General features: G+C 43.4%; 1 protein-coding gene and 1 long non-coding RNA gene across 28 annotated transcripts in view, besides 1 other annotated feature; both read right to left on the bottom strand.

The window, feature by feature from the left end:
- Positions 1-22,447, bottom strand: part of AUTS2 (activator of transcription and developmental regulator AUTS2) — a 1,195,032-nt gene that overhangs the window by 38,704 nt on the left and 1,133,881 nt on the right. The window lies entirely within an intron of this gene.
- LOC105375347 (uncharacterized) lies at positions 8,667-15,764 on the bottom strand. The gene is made up of 2 exons (XR_927653.4): positions 9,798-15,764; positions 8,667-8,838 (listed from the first exon to the last, which is right to left on the bottom strand). It is a non-coding gene; the product is annotated as an uncharacterized LOC105375347 (long non-coding RNA).
- Positions 17,957-18,066: a silencer, noted in NCBI's record as "silent region_18233". NCBI's record gives its function as "represses an Ori minimal core promoter by ATAC-STARR-seq in GM12878 lymphoblastoid cells {active_cell/tissue: GM12878}" and the evidence as "EXISTENCE:reporter gene assay evidence [ECO:0000049][PMID:35858748]".

Genomic DNA, 22,447 nt, shown 5'->3' with positions numbered 1-22,447 from the left:
TTCATCCGTATCTTTTTGAATATCTAATCCTTATGACTTAGAAAGAGACATGTCCTATTTTTATTATTCCATCTTCCAGTTAGCTTCTCTCGTTACTGTCCAAATGACAAAGCCACAAAGAGCACACCACACAGAAAGACTACAGATCACAGTCAAATAAGAAAATTAACCCAGACTTTAAAGTGCGAACATTAATAAGGGACTGAAATGTTTAAACACTGGCAATCCCAGAGACATATGGAAATATCAAATTTCTGTGAATCAACATGCAATTACCTCAAGCTGGTAGCAATGTCTATTTTATTTTATTTTTTTGGACACAGTCTCACTCTGTTGCCCAGGCTGGGATGCAGTGGTGCAATCACAGCAGACTGCAGCCTTGACTCCCCGGACTCAAATGATCCTCCCACCTTAGTCTCCAAGTAGCTGGGAGGCTGAGGCATGTGCCACCATGCTGGTTAATTGTTTATATTTTGTAGAAATGAGGTCTCACCATGTTGCACAGGCTGGTCTTTAACGTGTAGGCTCAAGCAATCCTCCCGCCTAGGCCTCTCAAAGTGCTGGGATTATAGGTGTGAGCCACCCTGCCCAATCAATGTTCATTATTATTTTATTTTATTTTATTTTATTTTATTCTATTTTGAGACAGAGTCTCGCTCTGTCGCCCAGGCTGGAGTGCAGCGGCGCGATCTCGGCTCACTGTAAGCTCCGCTTCCTGGGTTCACGCCATTCTCTTGCCTCAGCCTCCCCAGTAGCTGGGACTACAGGCACCCGCCACCACGCCTGGCTGATTTTTTTTTTTGTATTTTTAATAGAGACGGGGTTTCACCGTGTTAGCCAGGATGGTCTCGATCTCCTGACCTCGTGATCCACCCGCCTCGGCCTCCCAAAGTGCGGGGATTACAGGCGTGAGCCACCACGCCCGGCCAATGTTCATTATTTAATTACCTTCACCTGTCTATTCTGTTGCCTCAAACAAAATCTCTTTTTAAGCAAAGACTGCACATTGTATATACGTATTAAAACCCCAACCGCCCTACTGAGTTAATTTAGCAATACTTTAAATTCCCCCTGCTAAGTTTTGATTGTATCTCCAAAATTCTACATTCAGTGATGTTTTGCAGAAAAATGTCCACTTTCTCTAACATACACTTCACTTTATTTTCCTCCTCTCCCTCTTTTCTTCAAATCATTAAGCAGAGACCAGTTTGTTCCATTAGAAGATTCAATTACTTGAACGAATGGAAGGATGACATTCAGTCTTGCAGCTCTTCTTCTTGGTCACTGAAACTGTACAAATAAATTGAGGAAAACCCACTGTTTGTTCAAGGCAAATTAATTTTCAAACACTGCAAGAGTGGAAGATCAGGGGGAATGATGGGTGCTTGGCAGGGCTCGAAGAGATTCTATTTTGTGCTTGTCATGTTGTGTAAACATTAATTACCATCTGGGAGGCTGAGCTGTGGGCTGAAGTCTGTATCACAAACCTCTGAGGGCCTTCAGGGTTCCTATTAAAAGCAAAATCCTAAATAGGAAAAAATAGCCATTGCATCTGCCAAAACACCAGCAGCCCACTGGGAGAGCTGTGTGGAGTCCAGTGGATTAGAGGCTGCTGTTATCAGAGAAGCTAGTTTGGCTATCATCTAGTTGAGCAGATTAACCCTGATAGGGGTTAATCTGCTAGGGATTAAAGGAAAAGCAACACACCGCAGTTGAGTGTACTTAAACTTGTTTCAAGTTTATTGCTCCTAAACCCCACACCAAAACACATCAATCCTGATGCACATGCCCACATTCCTGATGCCTTAAAACCAAAACATCTGCCTTCAAGGGGGGTGTATCAACCACAATCTTGACTGTGGAGACCACAGGTTCTCTGAATCATGGCTTTGGCCTACAGAATGAAGAGCTTTTAGGGTCAACCTGGACTTGCAAACATTTTGTTTATTTTGCAGTCTCAAGCAAACAGAGCCACAAAGGACTATGTAATCAAATGACCAACATTAGAATGAGAGAAATAGGTTGTGATCTATTGGGGGTGGGTATGGCATCCTTAAAAAGTCTTTAGAAACTCAACAATGTCAAGGTCACATATAATCCATGTGATTGTCACTTCATACGGGGGAAAAACTCATTTGTACTACCCTGCCTCATGTGCCTATCTTTGTGTTAGGCCCTGTTCAGGACAAATGAAAAAAATAGGGAAATGGTAGTCAAAGAACCTGTGGTCCTGATCTTTCGTTTTTGTTTTCTGTAAGGCTCACAGATAAGCTTAGATAATCAGACTTAATGATGATATCCTATATCTTATTCTGAGTTATCAACGGTAAGGCATTTATATCTATAACACGTTCCCACTGCACCGACCCCAAGGGTCTTAGGCCAATATCAGCTGAATCCTGTGATGTGATATGTAGAGACCTGACAGGAGAAATAAGGTATGAAGGATGCAATCTCCAGTCACTTCCAAGAACACAGGAAAACTCCAAATATTGGTTTCGGAGAAAGCTTTTAAAGACACGGCCCCACTTTTTGTTTGTTTGCTTGTATCCTCCTGCCAGCCTCAATATTTATTAGCTGCTTCCTCTGGATAAGATCATCTCCTGCTTGCTTTCCATTCCCAGTGCAGCCTTCCTGCTACCCCCAGACTCCTTCCGCGATTCTTAGCTGTCCTGGCCTGTCCACCCCTGCCTGGCTGTTAACTAAGTGCTCACATGACACTGTGTACTACGCACATACACAGCCCAAGCACAGCCACCCTTAAAACCAGTGTATGCAGGCCAGGCGTGGCAGCTTATACCTGTAATCCCAGAACTTTGGGAGGCCAAGGCCAGTGGATCACTTGAGGTCCAGAGTTCAAGACCACCCTGGCCAACATGGTGAAACTCTGTCTCTACTAAAAAAAAAAAACAAAAATTAGGTGGTGTGGTGTCACGCGCCTGCAATCCCAGCTACTCAGGAGGCTGAGGCAGGAGAATCACTTGACCCCAGGAGGCGGAGGTTGCAGTGAGCCGAGATCGTCCCACTGCACTCCAGCCTTGGCAACAGAGTGAGATTCTGTCACAAAAAACTAGTGTATGCTCAATACTTAAACACGGTACTTCTGTGTCTGTGACACAGGTGTAGGAGGTCCTAACAAGGCAAGGTTCTAAAAGGATTTTCAAACAAACATGTATGGATTTGCACCACACAGCACGCCTACTCTGAGTAAAGATGAAATTGAAGGACAAGGCTATCATTGACCTAAAAGCCACAGCACACATTCCTTAGGCGGGAAGACAATGGGGAAAATGTTAGCTTATTTTGGAAATTTTCCCAAGGGTGAGACCAAGGCACTGAATAGGAATAATTTTAGATGTTTGGTGTAAAAAAATTAAAAAGATAGTCTTCCCAGTATCTAACCATCCTGCTTTTCACATTAAGTTGAATAAAATAAAGATACAGGCAGCCCTGCTTCCAGTATTTACATTACTAAATATTGTGTGGAAGGCAAAGCCGCGAGGCTCACAGATGGGGTGCATTATAGATCTGACACCTTCCTTCCTACCGCTGCCCTCTGCTAACCCTAACACCTTCATCCGAGAAGCTGATGTCCACACCCCAAATGGGCCATAACCATGAGGCTAATCCAGCCCTGGTCACCATCTGAAGCACACATTCTGTGTTGCAACGCGCCCCTGTCATTTTACCTGTTAATGTCATCAACGATTTTGGGGTGTTTTGCACGTCTTTTGATAACAGAGACATCAACATGTCTGTGATATAATGGGGCCATGGAACAAGTCATTTAGCTAATAACTTTCACACTCTTAAAAAGTCAGTGTGCCCATTAAGGTTGGCCAATGGGTGGGTCTAGGGTAAACCCTAGTTTCGAGTTTCAACACTTATGACTTTACCAAAGATGATTTTCTCAAGGATGAAGTAAAGCCACTAGCAGCAAAGACCGACTTACATACTGTCCGTCATCTACCACCTTCCTGCTTTGCATCTGATGATTGTATTTCATCTGATTTGGGGCACACATTGGACAATCACTGAGACCCATTTAGAAAAGAGGCTGGGTATGCATGCCAAGAGGCAAAGTAGGAATTTCCATCTGTTGGACGGGTGTGGTGGCTCACGCCTGTAATCCCAGCACTTTGGGAGGCCAAAGTGGGCGGATCACTTGAGCCCAGGAGTTTGAGACCAGCCTAGGCAACATGGCAAAACCCTGTCTCTACAAAAAAATACAAAAGTTATCCGGGCATGGTGGCGTGTGCCTGTAGTCCCAGCTACTCAGGAGGCTGAGGTGGGAGGAACACCTGAGCCTGGGAGGTGGAGGGTGAGGTGGGAGGAACACCTGAGCCTGGGAGGTGGAGGCTGAGGTGGGAGGAACACCTGAGCCTGGGAGGTAGAGGCTGCAGTGAGCTGTAATCAATGCCACTGCACTCCAGCATGGAAAACAGAGTGAGACCCTGTTTAAAAAAAAAAAAGACTTTCCATCTGTCGAGTTTATCCTAGGCTTTTTCTTAGCTCTGGCCCTACACACACATACTCTCCGCACCCGAGTCACCTGTACCATGCACTATCCCTGTGCCCACTTCCTATTCCTCCAGATTACCCTCTCATCAGGGTCCAGGTAGCCAAAGAAAGGCTCCAAGTTACCCTAGTAGAAAGAAGTGTCTGTGATATCTTATGGCAGTGACTGTTTCATTCTGTTCTGCAGGGGAGGGACCACAGACACCCAGGCATGTGGACCACTCTGGCCCTAAGCTCATCTTTTGCCAATATCACTGCAGAGCAGGAGGGTGATTAATTTCCACCAGCAGTCTCAGCGACCTCAGTCAAGTTTTCCACCAAGTTCACACAGCTGTCACTTGGAGTGTAGTGTAGGTGGAAGCTCTTCTATTCCTTTAGAGCTTTATCAAATATCCTAAAAGCAATCACTGTTTTCCCAGTATCATTCTTGTCCCATAGGCAACAGTTCACTGAGAAGCAGGCTTTGCCTTGGGTAATATCTACTATCCTTTGGCGATGACTTCTCTGTCAGCATTCAGACATGCCTGTTTGTACTCCTGAGGACAGAAGACAAAACTTCTCCTCAAGTCTGTTCACACAACCTGCTATGGCCCAGGGGACCTGGGTGCTGCCAACCCCCTGCAATCTCCCTGACTAGCTTATGCGTGAGCACCAGAGATGCTGCTAAAATGAATCCATGAAAGTAGCTTTCTGGCTATCACACAGCCCTTAATTCTTTAAGTTAGAGGAGGAGGAGCAGGGAAAAGAGGACTTTGACATTTTTTTCTAAGTAAGTTTTGATCTTTCTGGTCCCAAACAATCTACCAGCTCACACTATGACTTCGATGTATGCTACAGCCTCACTATTCCCAGTGTGGTCCACGGCCCAGCAACCCTAGCATCATCCAGGAGCTTGTTAGGACGGTACATTCGCGGACCCCCCTCCCCGTGCCGCCCAGCCCTGCCCCATGCACATTCAAGTTTGCACAGAGCTGTTCTACAGCACTGCTGGGAGGGTTAAAGAGCCTCAGCAAGCCCCACTGCTGAGGGAGGCTGTCCATAAGGCTGCGGATCCTTCTCTGTCTCTGCTTCCCAAGACCCAACCTTAGAAATTCTTTCCTTCATTCCTTCCTAGGGTGGGTCCTCTACCGACATGTAGGTTGGACAGGATGCGGTGGTGGGAGGCAGTGGTGATGTTCACCAGATTAGGAGCTACCCCCAAAAACAACATATTCACGAAAGCCAGCAACAGGGAGCTCCTGTTTGAGGCACTGTTCCCAGTCCGGCTCTATGCAGATTCACTGGACCATGCAGAAAAGGGAGTTCCAGAGCCTTGCCCCAAGTACAACTGTGAGCACCTTCAAGGACCTGATGCTTCTCACACTGAAGAGGAAGCAGATTGATTGGAAATGGCATCATGGACAGAACCAGGACCAAACAATGCATATTGCAGAAGAAAATTTTCAAGTGAAATGGACTAGGCTGCCTCACAGGAGAACAAACTGCCTTTAGGGGAAGCATTCAAGAGAATGCTGAACACCCATGAAAGAACCATGAGGTGTTACCCATGGAGTGGAATGGGGACTGGGCTACAGGGCCTCTGAGAGTCCCAAATGTTGGTAGCACCCTCAGAAGAACACTGCTTCTTTATCCTCCTTCACTTTTCCAGAACGCGGTCTTTTAAAATATCTCACTGGTAGGTTCATGAACACTATTCTCCTTGATTTGCAGAAATTTTGATAAGTGCTACATCCTACGTAGCTGTAAATGAAGAATCTCCACACCAAATGATTTTCATCTATAATAATCTTTAGGAACAGAAGAAATAAATCTACTTATCCCCAGCCATGATGGCTGCAAAGCTGAAAGAGGTTTTTACAAAGGGGGTGACAGGGAGCATTCTGCTGTTCCCTATATTTGAAGAAATGTATCTTTTTTAAAGGACAAGTCTATCAACCTTTACATTGATTTTCTATAAAACATCCATGTAATAAATACTTTGTAGGAAAATAAAATCTTTTGCCATTATTTCATCGCTTGCCATTACTTCATTTCATTATCCTTAATTTGTCATCAATAAAGGAAAAACGTTCAAATATAAACTTTGAAGCTACATACCTATAAGGTTTAGAAAGCAGTGAGGATGGTGATAATAGCTTGTTAGAAATGAGCTCTCTGGGCCAGGCGCGGTGGCTCATGCCTGTAATCCTAGCACTTTGGGAGGCTGAGACGGGCGGATCACGAGGTCAGGAGATTGAGACCATCCTTGCTAACATGGTGAAACCCCATCTCTACTAAAAAAAAAAAAAAAAAAAAATTGGCTGGGCGTGGTGGCAGGTGCCTATAGTCCCAGCTACTGGGGACGCTGAGGCAGGACAATGGCGTGAACCCAGAAGGCGGAGCTTGCAGTGAGCCGAGATCGCGCCACTGCACTCCAGCCTGGGCGACAGAGCGAGACTCTGTCTCAAAAACAAAAATAAATAAAATAAAATAAAATAAAATAAAGAAATGAGCTCGCTGGGCTGGGCGCAGTGGCTCACGCCTGTAATCCCAGCACTTGGGGAGGCTGAGGCGGGCGGATCACCTGAGGTCAAGAGTTCAAGACCAGCTGGCCAATACAGCGAAACCCCATCTCTACTACAAAACAAAAACAAAAACAAAAACAAAAACAAAACAAAACATAGCCAGGTGTGGTGGTGGGCTCCTGTAATCCCAGCTACTGAGGAGGCTGAGGCAGCAAAATCACTTGTACCTGGGAGGTGGAGGCCGCAGTGAGCTGAGATTGCGCCATTGCATTCTAGCCTGGGCGACAGAGTGAGACTCCGTCTCAAAAATAAATAATAAATAGATGAGCTCTCTGCTGGAGTCACCTTTCACATCTGAAATGCTACAAAGTAGCCTCTAGAAAGAGACAGTGGGAAGTTTTACCTGTCCTTGGATACAGCTGGAGTAAGTCACCAATACACTAGTGCTGCTTACCACTCACAATTATAATCCTGGAAGGGAAATGCTCTCAGACAACCAAGTTGATGCTTCGGAAATGCATGTCAGAATGACTTCTACTTTCCTGCAATCACCTGAACTTTATCTTCAGAGATGCTTTCAAAAAAGAAGGCAGAAGGTAATACGGCCTTCATTTGTTTCTTCTTCAAGAAGCAGCTACACAAATTAACCTAAATGGCCTTGTTGCCTGAGGGCCTTGTCTACCTGGCTGTCCTACCATTACCTCCAGCTCAACAGGACGAAAATCACACCCACCCCCTTCCACTCCCACTCTGTCCTGTCCCCATCATCTAAGCTCAGAATCACAGCATCCATTGTTTTCATTCCCCCAATATTAACTGGTGGTTCATGGGTAAATTATTGCTTATGTGACGCTATTTAAAACAAAATAATGGTTACAGAATCCACTGTCCGCCAGCACCCTGAGTGAGCTCTTAAAATGTAAATCGATCATGCTGACAATAATCACTACTTATAACAACACTGCTACTCCCCGTGTTCACAAAAGCTGGTTTAAAGCTCTCCAGTGGCTTCTCATCACAGACAGAATCCCTCCCAACTCCTCATCAAGGCCTGCCCCCCTCTCCCTCTCCTTCAGCCACCGTCCAGTGCGCCAAGATCCTGCGCTCTCCCCTTTCCCACACAGGTGCACTTTCGAATCCCATCTTTCAGCCTCACGGTTAACCCCTATCCAGTCTCACAGCCCCTGCTAGCCATCTGCTCTGATGAACTTCTAGTCTACACTTAATGTCCTTGGTATTAGCAAGCAACACATTATGTTTCTTATAGAATAAATTATATTTTATTATACAAGATTAAATATGTTCATATTTGAATGACAATAAAACTTAATCCTACGCCAGGTGTGGTGGCTCACTCCTGTAATCCCAGCACTTTGGGAGGCCGAGGTGGGCGGATCACCTGAGGTCCGGAGTTCGAGATCAGTCTGACCAACATGGTGAAACCCCGTCTCTACTGAAAATACAAAAATCAGCCCAGCCTGGTGGCAGCCACCTGTAATCCCAGCTACTCAGGAGGCTGAGGCAGGAGAATCGCTTGAACCGGGAGGCGGAAGTGGCAGCGAGCTGAGATTGTGCCACCGCACTCCAGCCTGAGTGACAGAGTGAGACTCTGTCTCAAAATAACAACAACAACAACAAAAAACCTTACTGCTCTTCATATTTTAATACACACAACTTTTTTGAGGAATGATTTCTTTCAATCTTTGCCTTTACTTCGATTCTGCACACGATGCCTTCCACAGAGTGAGCACTTGATAAATCGTTGATTTCTTTAACCACATAATAATTTACAAAATCTAAGCAAGTTCCTTTATAACTGCAATTCAAAAGGAAAAAAATCATAATGAGAAAAATACTCAATAAACAATTACATGTTAAGCCAGAAAAATCATGTCTCTCTGGAGTTGTTTCCATAATTGGACATCATACTGCAATAAAATAATAGTATATAACGCAAGCAAGTGTGAAATAATTGGAAGCCATTATGAAGTTTAAGGAACTATTTTCAATATACAATAAAACTAATGTTCTATTTTAAATCATAAAAGATTCTAATAGCTTGGTTATTTTTGTATAACAAAAAGAGCAATCAAAAGCAAATAATGTTAAAGGCGAGCAGTGTTAATAATCAAAGGTGGGAGAAGCCTCCAGGTATACGCCTGTGGTCTGCACGCTCCGTCTATAGCAGTCAACACTCTTTATGAGGACAAACACACTTTTATGTGCATAGAAAGAAAAAAATAAGAAAATATAAACAGCTGCTACCCTGGGAATTGTTATGAGGAGCTGTCAGAGGATTCATATTTTCAGCCTTCTATAGTATTTAAATTTTCAACAGAACACTGGCTTTAAATCCGGAAACCTGATACAAAGTCAAACAACTGCGCAGTCAGCAGGTAACTTAAAACACTCATTATAAGCAAATCAAAGTACAAATCTTTTTAAAATTAGCCAACGAGAACTGCTAAAAACTAAATAGAAAAATTAAATGGAAATGAAACACTGAGGAGCAGTGAATGCTGGAAGAAATGATGCCCGAATGACTAAGCTCAAAGTACATGGGGCTGGGGAGACAGAAACAGGGTTTTGTCTTGACACAATAAAAATCTCCGTAATGATAGTGAAATACAATCGGGATACATACACATCAAACTGGGAGATGATACAATACAGAAACGTATAATAAGGACTTTTCTCAAATGCAGAGGGTAAGAGTCAATTTTTTAAAACTGCAAAAAAAAAAATTGCTAATTATTAATATAATACTGAAATCACCATTTTCCTGAGGAGAGCCTGCAATGCATCACTGCAATGGAACTGGAGGGGCGATGATGAAAAGGTGGCCAGGCCACATCAACTCCAGAGCACCTGGAAGGGTGATCTGGAAGAAACCGTCCCCTGCTCCTTTGCCTGCTCATGAGCACATAAGCACCCTGTACACATGAGAGAGGTACAAGCTCCTCCCGTGGGAGGAAAGCAGTATTCTGAAGATGATGGCTGCCAAGGGGGGCTCACGTGTCAGTCAGGTCCTCCAACTGTACAAAGACACAAAGACACTGTCAGAAGCAAAATGACAGGATCTAGAAGCTCTTGCTGCTCTTGCCACCTCGAATATGTCACCTGTCTGCATGGAGCCTCGCTCATCGGTCTGACAACGGCATGCGCCCGGCAGCCAGGCGGCACTGAAGGCTGGCTTACTGTTCCCCGGGTTCACAAAATCAATACAGACTGACTTTACTTGAATTGTGCCTCTTCCTTATATGTCCTCCTCGTCAAGGCACTGTGGAAGGCTTTTAGTCCTGACTAAAGCAGAACTGAAGGACATTCTGAAACCCTGACCTTAAAGACAGGAGAGGGCGGCCTAGAAAAGGCAAGATGAAACAGAGGGCATTCAGCTAATGGCCCCAAACCGAGGATGTGCTTGCCCGTGACATTGGTGGCCTCAGGGGGCCACTGAAAAGAGGAGCGCATCTACCTCACCGCAGACAAATGGCCTCATGTCACTCACCCTTGGAAAACCCATTGTTAATGAGTGACGTTGGCTATATTTCTTCAGATTCTGATTTACTCAGATCTAGACAGTACTTTCAACACCACACTTGGACAAACGATTGCAGTTGAAATTTGGTGTTTTCAAATCCAAACATCCCCCGAGGAAAAACAAAACCTGTTTCCCAGGAACTTTTTGGACTCAGTCAGAAAAGTGAGAACAATATGAAAATGTTTTTGCCAACACTCGGGGCTGGAAATACATGAGTTGGATAGCCTCTCTTACAAAACAGGGGCTGGGGCGGGGGTGGGGGGAGATTACCCCTCCATCCACACTTTAACCACCCCTTCCTGCTTTTTGAAAATGCAGCAAATTCTTTGCTTCAAGTTCCTATACCCTAGAAATGATGATTGCTCCCAGGCAAAGTGACCATGGCCAATGGGTCATGAGGGCCCCAGTCAAAACTATGGGCCTGGCACAAAGGTGCACTTCAGGCACACATTTCAAATCTGTCAGTGCTGGGAGGAAGCAGATGTAAACAAAATAAGACCCACCAACTGGAAAAGAGAGCATGCCCTGACTAGAGGCAATGACATCTTAATCCTCCAGAAGGCACCACAAATCCCACAGACATAACCAAGGATGTTTCCCCCTCAAAACCCCAGATCAATGCACGACAAATGCTTAAATCTTTTTGGGTACAAAGAAACAGAATTTTCTGTCTGCCCTAACAAACGTGAATTTATAAAGCACAGAGTCTGAGGAATAGCCACTTTGGTGAGTTTGTGTCATACTAGTTTTTTTTTTTTTTTTTTTTTTTTTGAGACAGAGTCTCCCTCTGTCAGCCAGGCTGGAGTACAGTGGCGCAATCTCGGCTCACTGCAACCTCTGCCTCCCAAGTTCAAGTGGTTCTCCTGCCTCAGCCTCCCAAGTAGTTTGGACTACAGGTGCGTGTCACCACGCCCGGCTAATTTTTGTATTTCTTGGTAGAGATGGGGTTTCATCGTGTTGGCCATGTTGGTCTTGAACTCCTGGCCTCATGTGATCCGCCCACCTCAGCCTCCCAAAGTGCTGGGATTACAGGTGTGTGCCACAGTGTCCGGCCCAGATTTCTTAAAGAAACAAAAATAAAACAAGGGGAAGCTTATTATCAGTAGTAACTGAATTGGTGAAACTCCCTTACTAAACAGACTAAAAAGCTGAAATAATATGAGTTTAGATTTCCTCCTAAATGCACAGATTTTATGTCCTTCTATGATACAATTTTGCAAGGCAACATATTATAGTTTCAAAATTAACTGGATTCAAGTTCTGGCTTTACCACTAGCTAAGTGACTGTGCATGTAACACTCCACTTCGCAGAGCCTTGGTTTCTTCATCTGAAAAAGAGAGAAGTTTGGGCTTCCTGATATCTGTGGTCCTTTCCAGTTCTAAGAGTCTCCGATTCTATTGGCATTAGTCTATTTTCAGTTAAAGCCATCATCAAATCACACACATGTAAATGATATGAGGTGAAATTCCACTTTTTGAGATGGAGTTTCGCTCCTGTTGCCCAGGCTGGAGTGCAAGGGCGCGATCTCGGCTCACTGCAACCTCTGCCTCCCGGGTTCAAGCTATTCTCCTGCCTCACCCTCCTGAGTAGCTGGGATTACAGGCACGCGCCACCACGCCAGGCTAATTTTGTATTTTTAGTAGAGATGGGGTTTCTCCATGTTGGTCAGGCTGGTCTTGAACTCCTGACCTCAGGTGATCCACTCACCTTCGCCTCCCAAAGTGCTGAGATTACAGGTGTGTGCCACCGTGCCTGGCTGAAATTTCACTTTTAAATCAGAAACTTGATAGGTGAAATACAAGTTTCTCCTCTATGCTGCTCCTAAGTGAATCACCTTTTAGATACTAGCTGAAAAGTAAGAACCATTCAAACTCCAGCTTTTAGATTTTAGAGAAATCTGCTAAATGTAATTAGGAACCAGACTTATGAGATATTCCTCTGGCGGGGGGAGACTTTGGAAAATGGCTAGATCAGCCAAGTATGTCTCTTTAACATGTACTTTCATTCCTCCTAGCAAAAATAAGCCAATCTTTAAGAACAAGAGTTTTAGAGAGTGAGTGGGTAGTATAATTTATGTATCCTTATATACCAGTGCCTGGAATTACTATAAGAACAAAAAAGATGCTTTACTGATCAAGCAAATAACACAACAAAGAAACAGGAGCTGCTGCGACACTTGCTTTGAAATGTGAGTTTATTCTAATGTGAATGTAACGTTTGCTTAGGTGCAATTTTGTCTGCAAAAAGTACAAGGTGAATGGAGAAAACTGAGCCGCATTCTGGAGCCCACAGGAATACATTAACCATACAGCCTCAAGCATCCCTTGCCTTCCTCAGCTGACTGTGTGTGCTACGAGTGTAGCACATTCAGATCTGCTGTTACAACCTTCTTTCCAAGTTCAGATAATCCTCCTTCCACCACGCCACTATAACCACCGGCTCCAACCCTCCTCATGTCAGCTCCCATGAGCAAACTTCAGGCTTTTTACAAGGTAGATGCCATATTTATTGTAGCATTTCTTTTTTTTTTCTTTCTTTTTTTTTTTTGAGATAGAGTTTCACTCTTGTTGCTCAGGCTGGAGTGCAATGACACGATCTTGGCTCACCTCAACCTCCGCCTCCCGGGTTCAAGCAATTCTCCTGCCTCAGTCTCCTAAGTAGCTGGGATTACAGGCATGTGCCACCACGCCCGGATAATTTTGTATTTTTAGTAGAGATGGGGTTTCTCCATGTTGGTCAAGCTGGTCTCAAACTCCTGACCTCAGATGATCCGCCTGCCTCAGCCTCCCAAAGTGCTGGAATTACAGGCGTAAGCCACCGCGCCCGGCCTATTTATTTCTTAACCATTTAGCATGTGTAAAACTAAGTTACTGTTTTTACTGGGTTCCTGTTTTTTTTTTTTCTGTCAGTGATAAATTTTTGGTCCCTAATCCCATTTCTCCCATAAGTCTTATGGCTTCATTTGTACCACTGTGAACAGCATGGTGATTTTAAGGAAACTGTATGTAGCGTTGTAACAGAACTGACTATAAAATTAGGGAAATTCCTGATAAAATAAACCTTATCTTAAAAAGAATGTCAAAGAACAGATCAACAGTCATCCCAGGGAAAAGTTTCTTTTTTTTTTTTATTTTTTTTAATTTTTGAGACAGGGTCTCGCTCTGTCACCCAGGCTGGAGTGTGGTGGTGCGATCTCAGCTCACTGCAACTTCCACCTCCTAGGTTCAAGCAATTCTCTTGCCTCACCCTCCCAAGTAGCTGGAATTACTGGTACATGCCACCATGCCCGGCTAATTTTTGTATTTTTAGTAGAGATGGGGTTTTACCATGTTGCCCAGGCGGGTCTCAAACTCCTGACCGCAAGTGATCCGTCTGCCTTGGCCTCCCTAAGTGCTGGGATTATAGGCATGAGCCACTGCGCCTGGCCCAGGGGAAAGTTTCTAGTGGGCTGCAAAACAGCATCTAGCCATTGTCCTCTTCAATGTACTTAATAAGTAACTTATTTATTAATAAAATACCCACATTTATTACTTTATATAAATATAAATGTATATATTCAAATAAGTACGATAAATATTGAAACAGCATGAATAATATATAATTATTAATAAACTATCAATAAGCAGAATTTGGAAGAGCAAATACTTTTGACTCATTCATTCAATGAAAATGTATTAAGCACTTACTATGAGCTGTCAGTGTTGAAGAGAGAAGAGGAATATGATGAGACATGATTATGATCCTAGCAGAACTCAGGAGGAAAGACATAAAGAGCCATAATGCAATGTAGTAAAAGCTCTAATAAAGGCATCACTAAGTCCTCTGAAGCAGCAAAGGAAGGAAGGACAACTCTCAATGACAGAATATGAATCTCCAAAGTTTAACAAGCTGAAATGATGGGTTAAAAGAAAAAAACAAAATTGGAGCTGCAATAGCACCACGTGTAAGGTCCCACAATTGAAACCTGAAGGACTGTAAAAAGCCTGCTGCTGCTAAGTCTTGCCTCTCCTTTCTTTTATTTGAAAATAGTTGGTATTTGGATTCACTTTGCAGTAACCTGAAATTCGTCAAAGGCAACACCAATCCAAGTGTTGGCTGTCTCAATAAAAATCTGTCACTGGGAAAATGGGGATGACAGGTACTGATTAAGCTCCACTGGGAGAATCAGGTTCTGCACACCTCCTTTTAAAGGGGCTGTGCATGAGTTGGAGCACATTCAAAGGATGATGAACAAACTCACAGCCATGCTTCCTTGGTAGTGGATGAGGGGAGGGGAGCCAGGAGGGCCGGGAATACTGCTGTTGTCCAACATTTGAAGGGCTGTCTTTTGTAAGAGGAAGTAGACTTGTATTACATGGCCCCAAGGGGAACAACTACATGGGGAACAGACTTCAGCCTAACGTAAGGAAGACTTTTTTTTTTTTTTTTTTTTTTAACAATTAGAGCTGCCCAAAGACAGAACGGTGCTCCTTGAAAGGCGTCTCAGGGATGTTCAAGCACAGCCTTGGTGACCACGTGGCCGGGAAGCTACAGACTGAGGATTTACACATCAGACAAATGGCTGAGTACAGATCACACCTTTAAGATGGTCCTCCAAACAAAAGATTCTACAACTTTAGTTATTTAGAATTAGCTTTGAGACTTTGGGCAGGTCACAATTTTTCTCTATCTCCTATCCTGTAACTTCAGAACCAGACACACTACTAACATCATAACATCCAAACTTGGTTTTTGTTTTTTTTTAACAGATAAAAAATGTGACTGGGCACAGTGGCTCATGCCTGTAATATCAGCATTTTGGGAGGCCAAGGTGGGAAGATCGCTTGAGGCCAGGAGTTTGAGAGGGGCCTGGGCAACATAATATGATCTCATCTCTACAAAAAAAAAAAAAAAAGGAAAAAAAGGCAACATTAGTGGGGTGTGGTATTGAGCACTGTAGTCCAAGCTACTCGGGAGACCGAGGCAGGAGGATTGCTTGAGCCCAGGAGTTCAAGACCAGCCTGGGCAACATGGTGAGACCCTGTCTCTTCAAAACATAAAAAACATTAGCCAGGCATAGTGGTGCACACCTATGGTCCCACCTAACCAGGAGGCTGAAGCAGGAGGATTGTTTGAACCCTAGAGGTAGAGGCTGCAAGTGAGCTATGACAGCAACACCGTGCTCCAGCCTGGGCAACAGAGCAAGACCCTGTCTCTCTCTCAAAAAAAAAAAAAAAAAAAAAAAAAAAAAAAAAAGGCCTCAAAACCTCGTGGACATCACCAGAATACAGAAAGTTAAGTTAAAACCTTCTGAGTAGATGTGTTGTCTACAAAGTGGGGGATGGGAGGGTTTTGAATATGCTCTATACTCCATGTGCCATAAAATGAGGAAAAGACATTTGAAACCAGGTTAATTTCCTTGTATTTGAACTATGTATATCCAGTGTGTTAAGGACTTAAGTGACTAGAAAAACCACATGATTAACTTTCAACATCCTCCTTTCCAATAGAGAAAAATGTGATCAAGAACATGTAACACTCACGTGGTCCCCTCTCTTCCCTGGACTGTCACCGCTCCTCCGGGATTGGGGCACAGGAGCCTTGCGCCATGCATTAAAGATCCCCCAGCAGTATGGGCCTTGGCAGCTCACAGTGGAGCTCACAGCCTCTGCTTCTGCAGAGGGACTGACACTGGTTCTCTTCATGCCCACCACGTACCTCACAGCTAGCAATGATATAAAAGCAACTCTCAAAAGAGCAACTCCATTCACCAGCTCCTCAGGCACAACACACAACTTTATACACATTTGTCATATGTCCAAAAAGTAAAAAAAAAAAAAACAAAAAACTTGTTCCAACTTTTTGCTCCAAGAGAAAAAAAAAAGCTAGTTAATCTAAGTGCTTCAGGAAGCCTTAATAGCCTTTTCATCTGCTCCAGCAGCAACGCCCATTTCTCTGGCCAATTGGAGAGAATCAACTCAGGAGTTACAGGTTCTAGCACCAGGAGAAAACCGCAGTGAGAACGGGTCATTTGTTTGGAGAGACTGCCACTCCCAGCATTTTTGCATGTTTACAACTTGACTGACTTGGAAGACTTCATTTCCTAATACTAAGGAAAGTTTGCAGAAGGGCCCATGAAGTATCAAAGCCTCCTAACTGCACTGTGAGACGCAGGAAAACCCGGCCATACCTCCTCATGTCAGTTTTCAGCTTTATGGACTTTATCTGACAAAAAGTTGGTTTCAGAATGTCTTCCGTACAAGCCTTCAAATAGAGGGCTTTGTAAATTCCCAAAGCCAAAATTTTAAAATCTAATTATTTGTATATTAAAATGCTTCTCTTTATTGCTAATTGGCTGCAACATAATAATTAGTCTGCATTATATTTTACTGCTAATCACAACCTCAATAAAATGGGCAATGATGTGTTTCCATTTTCAAGGTTACCTATGAAGCCCAAGGGCTCTAAAATAGGTCAGGACTTCTCTTCACCCCCCTGGCTCCTCCTCCTCTCTGGATTTTAGGTTATTTCAATATCCTGTGTACTCTCTGATAATAAAGAAAGTAATGACAGAGCTGTAAAGAAAAATGCATGTCAGTCCACTCTGGAAACTATTTAGTAACTGTGGTCCGTGAGTTTAAGGAAAGGGGAAACCAACACATTTCGGTAAAATTAGGTTGGAGAGGGGCTTGTGAATTTCAAATACCTATGACACAATAGTCTCTTCCTCCTAAAATCACAGACATTAAATAAGAACTGGATAAAATCGGTTAAGATATTTCTATCTTGCACTACAAATAACAGAGCAAACTGGGTTTCAAAAATAAATTCCTTCTGACTGGCAATCAGAAACGTGAGGTTCTCTTCCATTTTGATTCTATGGACTGTGGAATTTACAGATGTTACAGCGGTGGGGAAATCTAATGTTCCCGCCCTTTGGCACACGGTGGTGCTTGAGCCACATAATGGGAAGGGGCAGGCTGATGCCCATGGTCTCTGCTCTAGGGCTGGACCCATGGAAAATGTAACCAGAACACTCCAGCCCACCTGGGATCATTAATTAGCCTGCATGCACTACCCAAATCTGTCTACTTTCACTTTCTAGGTCCCTGCTTTTTCCATTTCTTACTGCTTATCAGGGTCTCCACCAGATGTGCATTAAAGAAGTAAAAGGAAAATAAATCTTTTCTCCTTGTAAGCAGTTATGAGTAACGTTTTAGTCACTTGAGAGTAAAACTTTTGACTAATGGGGAGACTGTTATGAGGGAAATGATCCCTTCTGTTGTTAACCTAGCTGGAACCACGGAAAGTGATCAGGAATGCCGGTGATTTACAAGGAGGATGAAGGGGTGGGGAAGTCACTCACTGGGAGCAGGACAGCCTATTTCTGACTCCATTGCACAATCCGTCTACGCTATGTCTGGATCCTTCTAACAGGCAGAGATGCACTTTGTGGCAACAATACTTTCCTAAGTGTATGAAACAGAAAACAAAACTCTGATAAGCCGGCGTTAGGAATGCAGTGAACAGCACTGTTGTTCCTCATTCCCCTAACAGTTGGGCATTTTCCACTAGTGTTCTCTTCTCCAGGAACTGAGTCTTTCAGCTAATCACCCCAATCTATCAGAAGAAATCCCTCTTTGGATGGATGAACATTCAACTAATTTATGCATTAAAAAACACAAATCTGCCACTTTTAAAAGTAGGAATAGACGTACCTTAAAGCATGCATATTATAAATACATTTCTCTTGAATTACTCCAACCACATCACAGATCTTGGAAAACAAGTAACAAAAATATCTACACCTGACCCCCTAAACCAACTGGCAATAAAGCATGCCAGTCATTTCACCTTTTTTCTTCAATCCACATTTTATATCACTTGGTAGTAAAAGTATTTTTCCATACTGACATCTACTTTTCATAATGTCCATTTCTAGAGGAGTGATTGATATGATCTATTGATTTTTCTGCTGGCTTTTTTTTTTGTAATACATATTTAACTCTTCAGTTCAATTGAATTTATTCCGGTGTAAGATGAAGACCTAACTATCTGATGAATAATCTTGCCTTTCATTCCCCTTTGATTTGTGAAGGCTTTTTTATCATATATTAAATTTTTATGTGAAAATGGGATTTGTTTTGGGGTAGTTTGTCACTTTATGGTCTATTAACAGTGTTATGATATTCTAATTGTTATAGTTATACACACACACACGTATAATAAAATAGATATACTATTACTTCCTCCTCCTATGTAGATTTTCAAATCCAAACTCCATTTTATCCATCCCCACTGTCAATCAAATAAGGATTTTGATTGCAACTGATCTAAACTTCCAAATTAATTTGGATAAACTTCAATACCTAGCCTCCCAAACTAAGAACTTGCCATTTCTGAAGTCTCTTGTCCCTCCAAGATTTGTAGTTCCGTTCATCTAGGTCACATAAATCTTCCTCGGGGGAATGGAACATTGCCTGTCTGTTAATGCTCTATTTTCTTTTTCCCTCTTAACAAGCATTCTAATAACACAGTATTCTCTCACTCCTGGGCACTCTATCCTCCAAATGGAGGATTTCAGGAAACATTAAAGCACCACAGTAGAGCCAACACATGCTTCAGTTCCAGGGAAAGTCATTTAGGCTACCGATGCATTCCCTGACACAGGGAATGAGGAAGACAGGGTGATGCACCCGCATTCACTTGATTCGGAAGAAAACTCTCCTCGCGGTCCTTAAAGTCAAAGGCTAATGCATTCTTCGGAACATCCGCATCACCCCCGTGAGGGTCAGGGTTAGGCAAACCCAGCCTTGACTCTAGAAGCCACCCGTCCTCCCTCCCAGCTCTTCTCCTCTGGACGTGCTCCTGAATGACTGTTGTAACTTCAAAAAGGAAATACAGGAAGAAAATTCTGAACAAACCAACTGAATTTGCCATGTCGTTTTGACATCCTTTCACAAGTCGATTTCATTTTGTTTGTTTCTTGATTTCAGAAAGGTCGAAGTGAGGCAAAGGGAACCAAACACATCTCCCAGCCTTGGGGGACAACCCATTTCAGCTCTCCTTTGGTAAGGTTTTATTCTAAAAGAGGACACTTACCCTAAGAATTAGCTGTGTTCTCCCACCTGAGAGACAGGCTGTGAGAATATGAAATGAACAGAATTGACGGCCATTTCCTATTGGGTATTAAGGTCTTATAAAATGAGAACGCTGTCCTACTAATGAGAAGCTAGACTTCTTTTTTTTTTTTCCTCCTCCAGATTTATATTTATCTTGACCTTGGGTTGAAAGCTTATAATTATCTCTCTTGCTACCTAAAAGTACCCAAACCTTCTTTCACCTTCAACACTGCTATACTGAATTTCAGTTTTGATAACTATTAGGCATGAAAGCAGGCCTTCTAATGTCTCATAACAACCTCTTTAGGAAGATGTTGCTTCCATTTTTAAAAAAGGCAGGGATAATGATAAACAGTTTAAGAATCTTACAAAGGCAATAAAATGACTTAGGGCAGATATCACACAACAGCTGACATTAACTAGGGGACTTCTGCATTTATTATATGGCTTTATTTTCTATTTCTGGAAACTCTGACTAATCTATTCAGTGCCCAACATTTCCAGTGAGCAGATAAGATGCCAGATAACTACACTACCATACATACCTCACCCTGCCAGCCCCCACAAGCACGCCAAACCATATGTCCCGCCAAACCTCATTCTGGGACAGATTTTTAACTGAGAGAAAAAGGGGGGAGGGGACAATGTATCCCCATACTAATATTTATCAAGGTTTTCTTCTTTTTTCTTTTTTTTTTGAGATAGACTCTCACTCTGTCTCCCAGGCTGGAGTGCAGTGGCGCGATCTTGGCTCACTGCAAGCTCCACTTCCCAGGTTCATGCCATTCTCCTGCCTCAGCCCCCCGAGTAGCTGGGACTACAGGCACCGGCCACCATGCCCAGCTAATTTTTTTGTATTTTTACTAGAGACGGGGTTTCACTGTGTTAGCCAGGATGGTCTTGATCTCCTGACCTCGTGATCCGCCCGCCTCGGCCTCCCAAAGTGCTGGGATTACAGGCGTGAGCCACCACACCCGACCAGGGTTTTCATGGTATCTGGACAAACGAGTACAACGTGAAGCCTGGCGCATGCAGCGGGCTGTCGGGAGGCTTGAGTATGAGAATCAAGGCCCTTGCTCTCAGCTCTGTCCCATGTTGCCGGGGTTCAAAGGGATTCTGAAAAATAAAAGGAAACTCAGCCACCAAGAGACTGTAGGGTGCCTTCCATCCAAAACATCAAAGATGCTTAATGATTTTATTAACAAAGTATATCAAAAATAGCCTGGATTTATGTGATAAAACTAATGTAGAGGCCAGGCGTGGTGGCTCACGCCTGTAATCCCAGCACTTTTGGAGGCCGAAGCAGGAGGATTACTTGAGGTCAGGAGTTTGAGACCAGCCTGGTCAACATGGTGAAACCCTGTCTCTACTAAAAATGCAAAAATTATCAGGGTGTGGTGGCGGGCGCCTGTAGTTCCAGCTACTTGGGAGGCTGAAGCAGGAGAATCACTTGAACCCTGGAGGCGGAGGTTGCAGTGTGCCGAGACCACCCCACTGTACTCTAGCCTGGGTGACAGAGTGAGACTCCGTCTCAAAAAAACCCAAAAAACTAACGTAGAAAAATGTTACAACTGCATAATCTAGATGTGGGGGTAGGGGGGTGGTGAGAGTACAGGTGGGAGTGGAAGAGGTGGGAATAAAGCTGTTCACTGTACAATGATCTTCACTTTTCTGTATGTTTGAAATTTTTCATACAAAATTGTTAGGGGAAAATAATCTAGACAATTGGCATCTTCGATTTTGTACAGCATTTGTCCTGCAGCAGTGAGGGTTTCTAAGTTTCCATAAAATGCTCTGTTTATGCAATAGAACTATTCCATGACTCTGAGTGATGTAAACTGTGGTTATTAAACACCACTAGCTCTAAGTCTCCAAGAGTCCTGAGAAGCATCCCATTTAAGATACCCTTAAGCTGCTATTATCTCTGCAGATAGAGATTTTCCTCCATCCCCTTCCTTGAAGAATTAAGTGCTCAGGAGCCTAACTTTTTTATATACTTCGGTGCTGTCTCAGATCATTAAAAATCTAGGGTGTAAATGTTTACTATTCTTGAATGGTGTATAAACCAATTCCTACCAAATGCACAATACTGAGTTTTATTAACAAACTGATTAGGAAGCACAGCCCTGTGGAAATAGCATAAGATGCAAAATCAGAGAAGACAGGTGTGAGCTTTGGTGAGGGGCCACCTCCTAAACCACAGTTCCTCTGTGGACAAAATGGAGATCACATGTGCCACATCTACCTCAAGTGTGTGTTATGAGGCCAGATAACTACAATAAACAAGAAAATGCTTTAAAAAACTGCAATGCATAATGTACTTCAGTACGATTACCAATTTACTTTGCACCTGTTTGCAAAAGTAATACACGCTTTTTTCTTATCCTAAAGCAGAATTGCTAGAATTGAGAGAGTTTGGAATCTGGTGATGTATAAGATGACAAATTGTTAAAGGGAAAGCTGGGCCTGCCTGGGCCAACTCATCAGGAAGAAGATTAAGTGGGTTCAATGAGAGCCAGGCGGGAACAGGAAGAGTCAAAACGATAAGGAGAATTCATGCTGGATGCACCCCCACAACCCCCACCACCGCAATGTTTCTGTCAGGGGAGACAGACAGGGGTCTTGACAAATAGCACTGCTAGGAAGGAAAGGACCTGGCCCTGTGATGTCTGCAGGTCAACCCAGGAACCTCGGATACTGAGACCCACTTCTCTGTCTCTTTCTCAACAGGTAGACTGGTCCATCCCTATCTCCTTCACCCCCTCTTCTCTAGGGAAGTGCT

This window comes from Homo sapiens, chromosome 7 (assembly GCF_000001405.40).
Source record: "Homo sapiens chromosome 7, GRCh38.p14 Primary Assembly".
NCBI lineage: Eukaryota > Metazoa > Chordata > Mammalia > Primates > Hominidae > Homo > Homo sapiens.
Note: the sequence above shows the minus strand (reverse complement) of the source record. Positions and strands in the feature narration are given on the sequence as shown.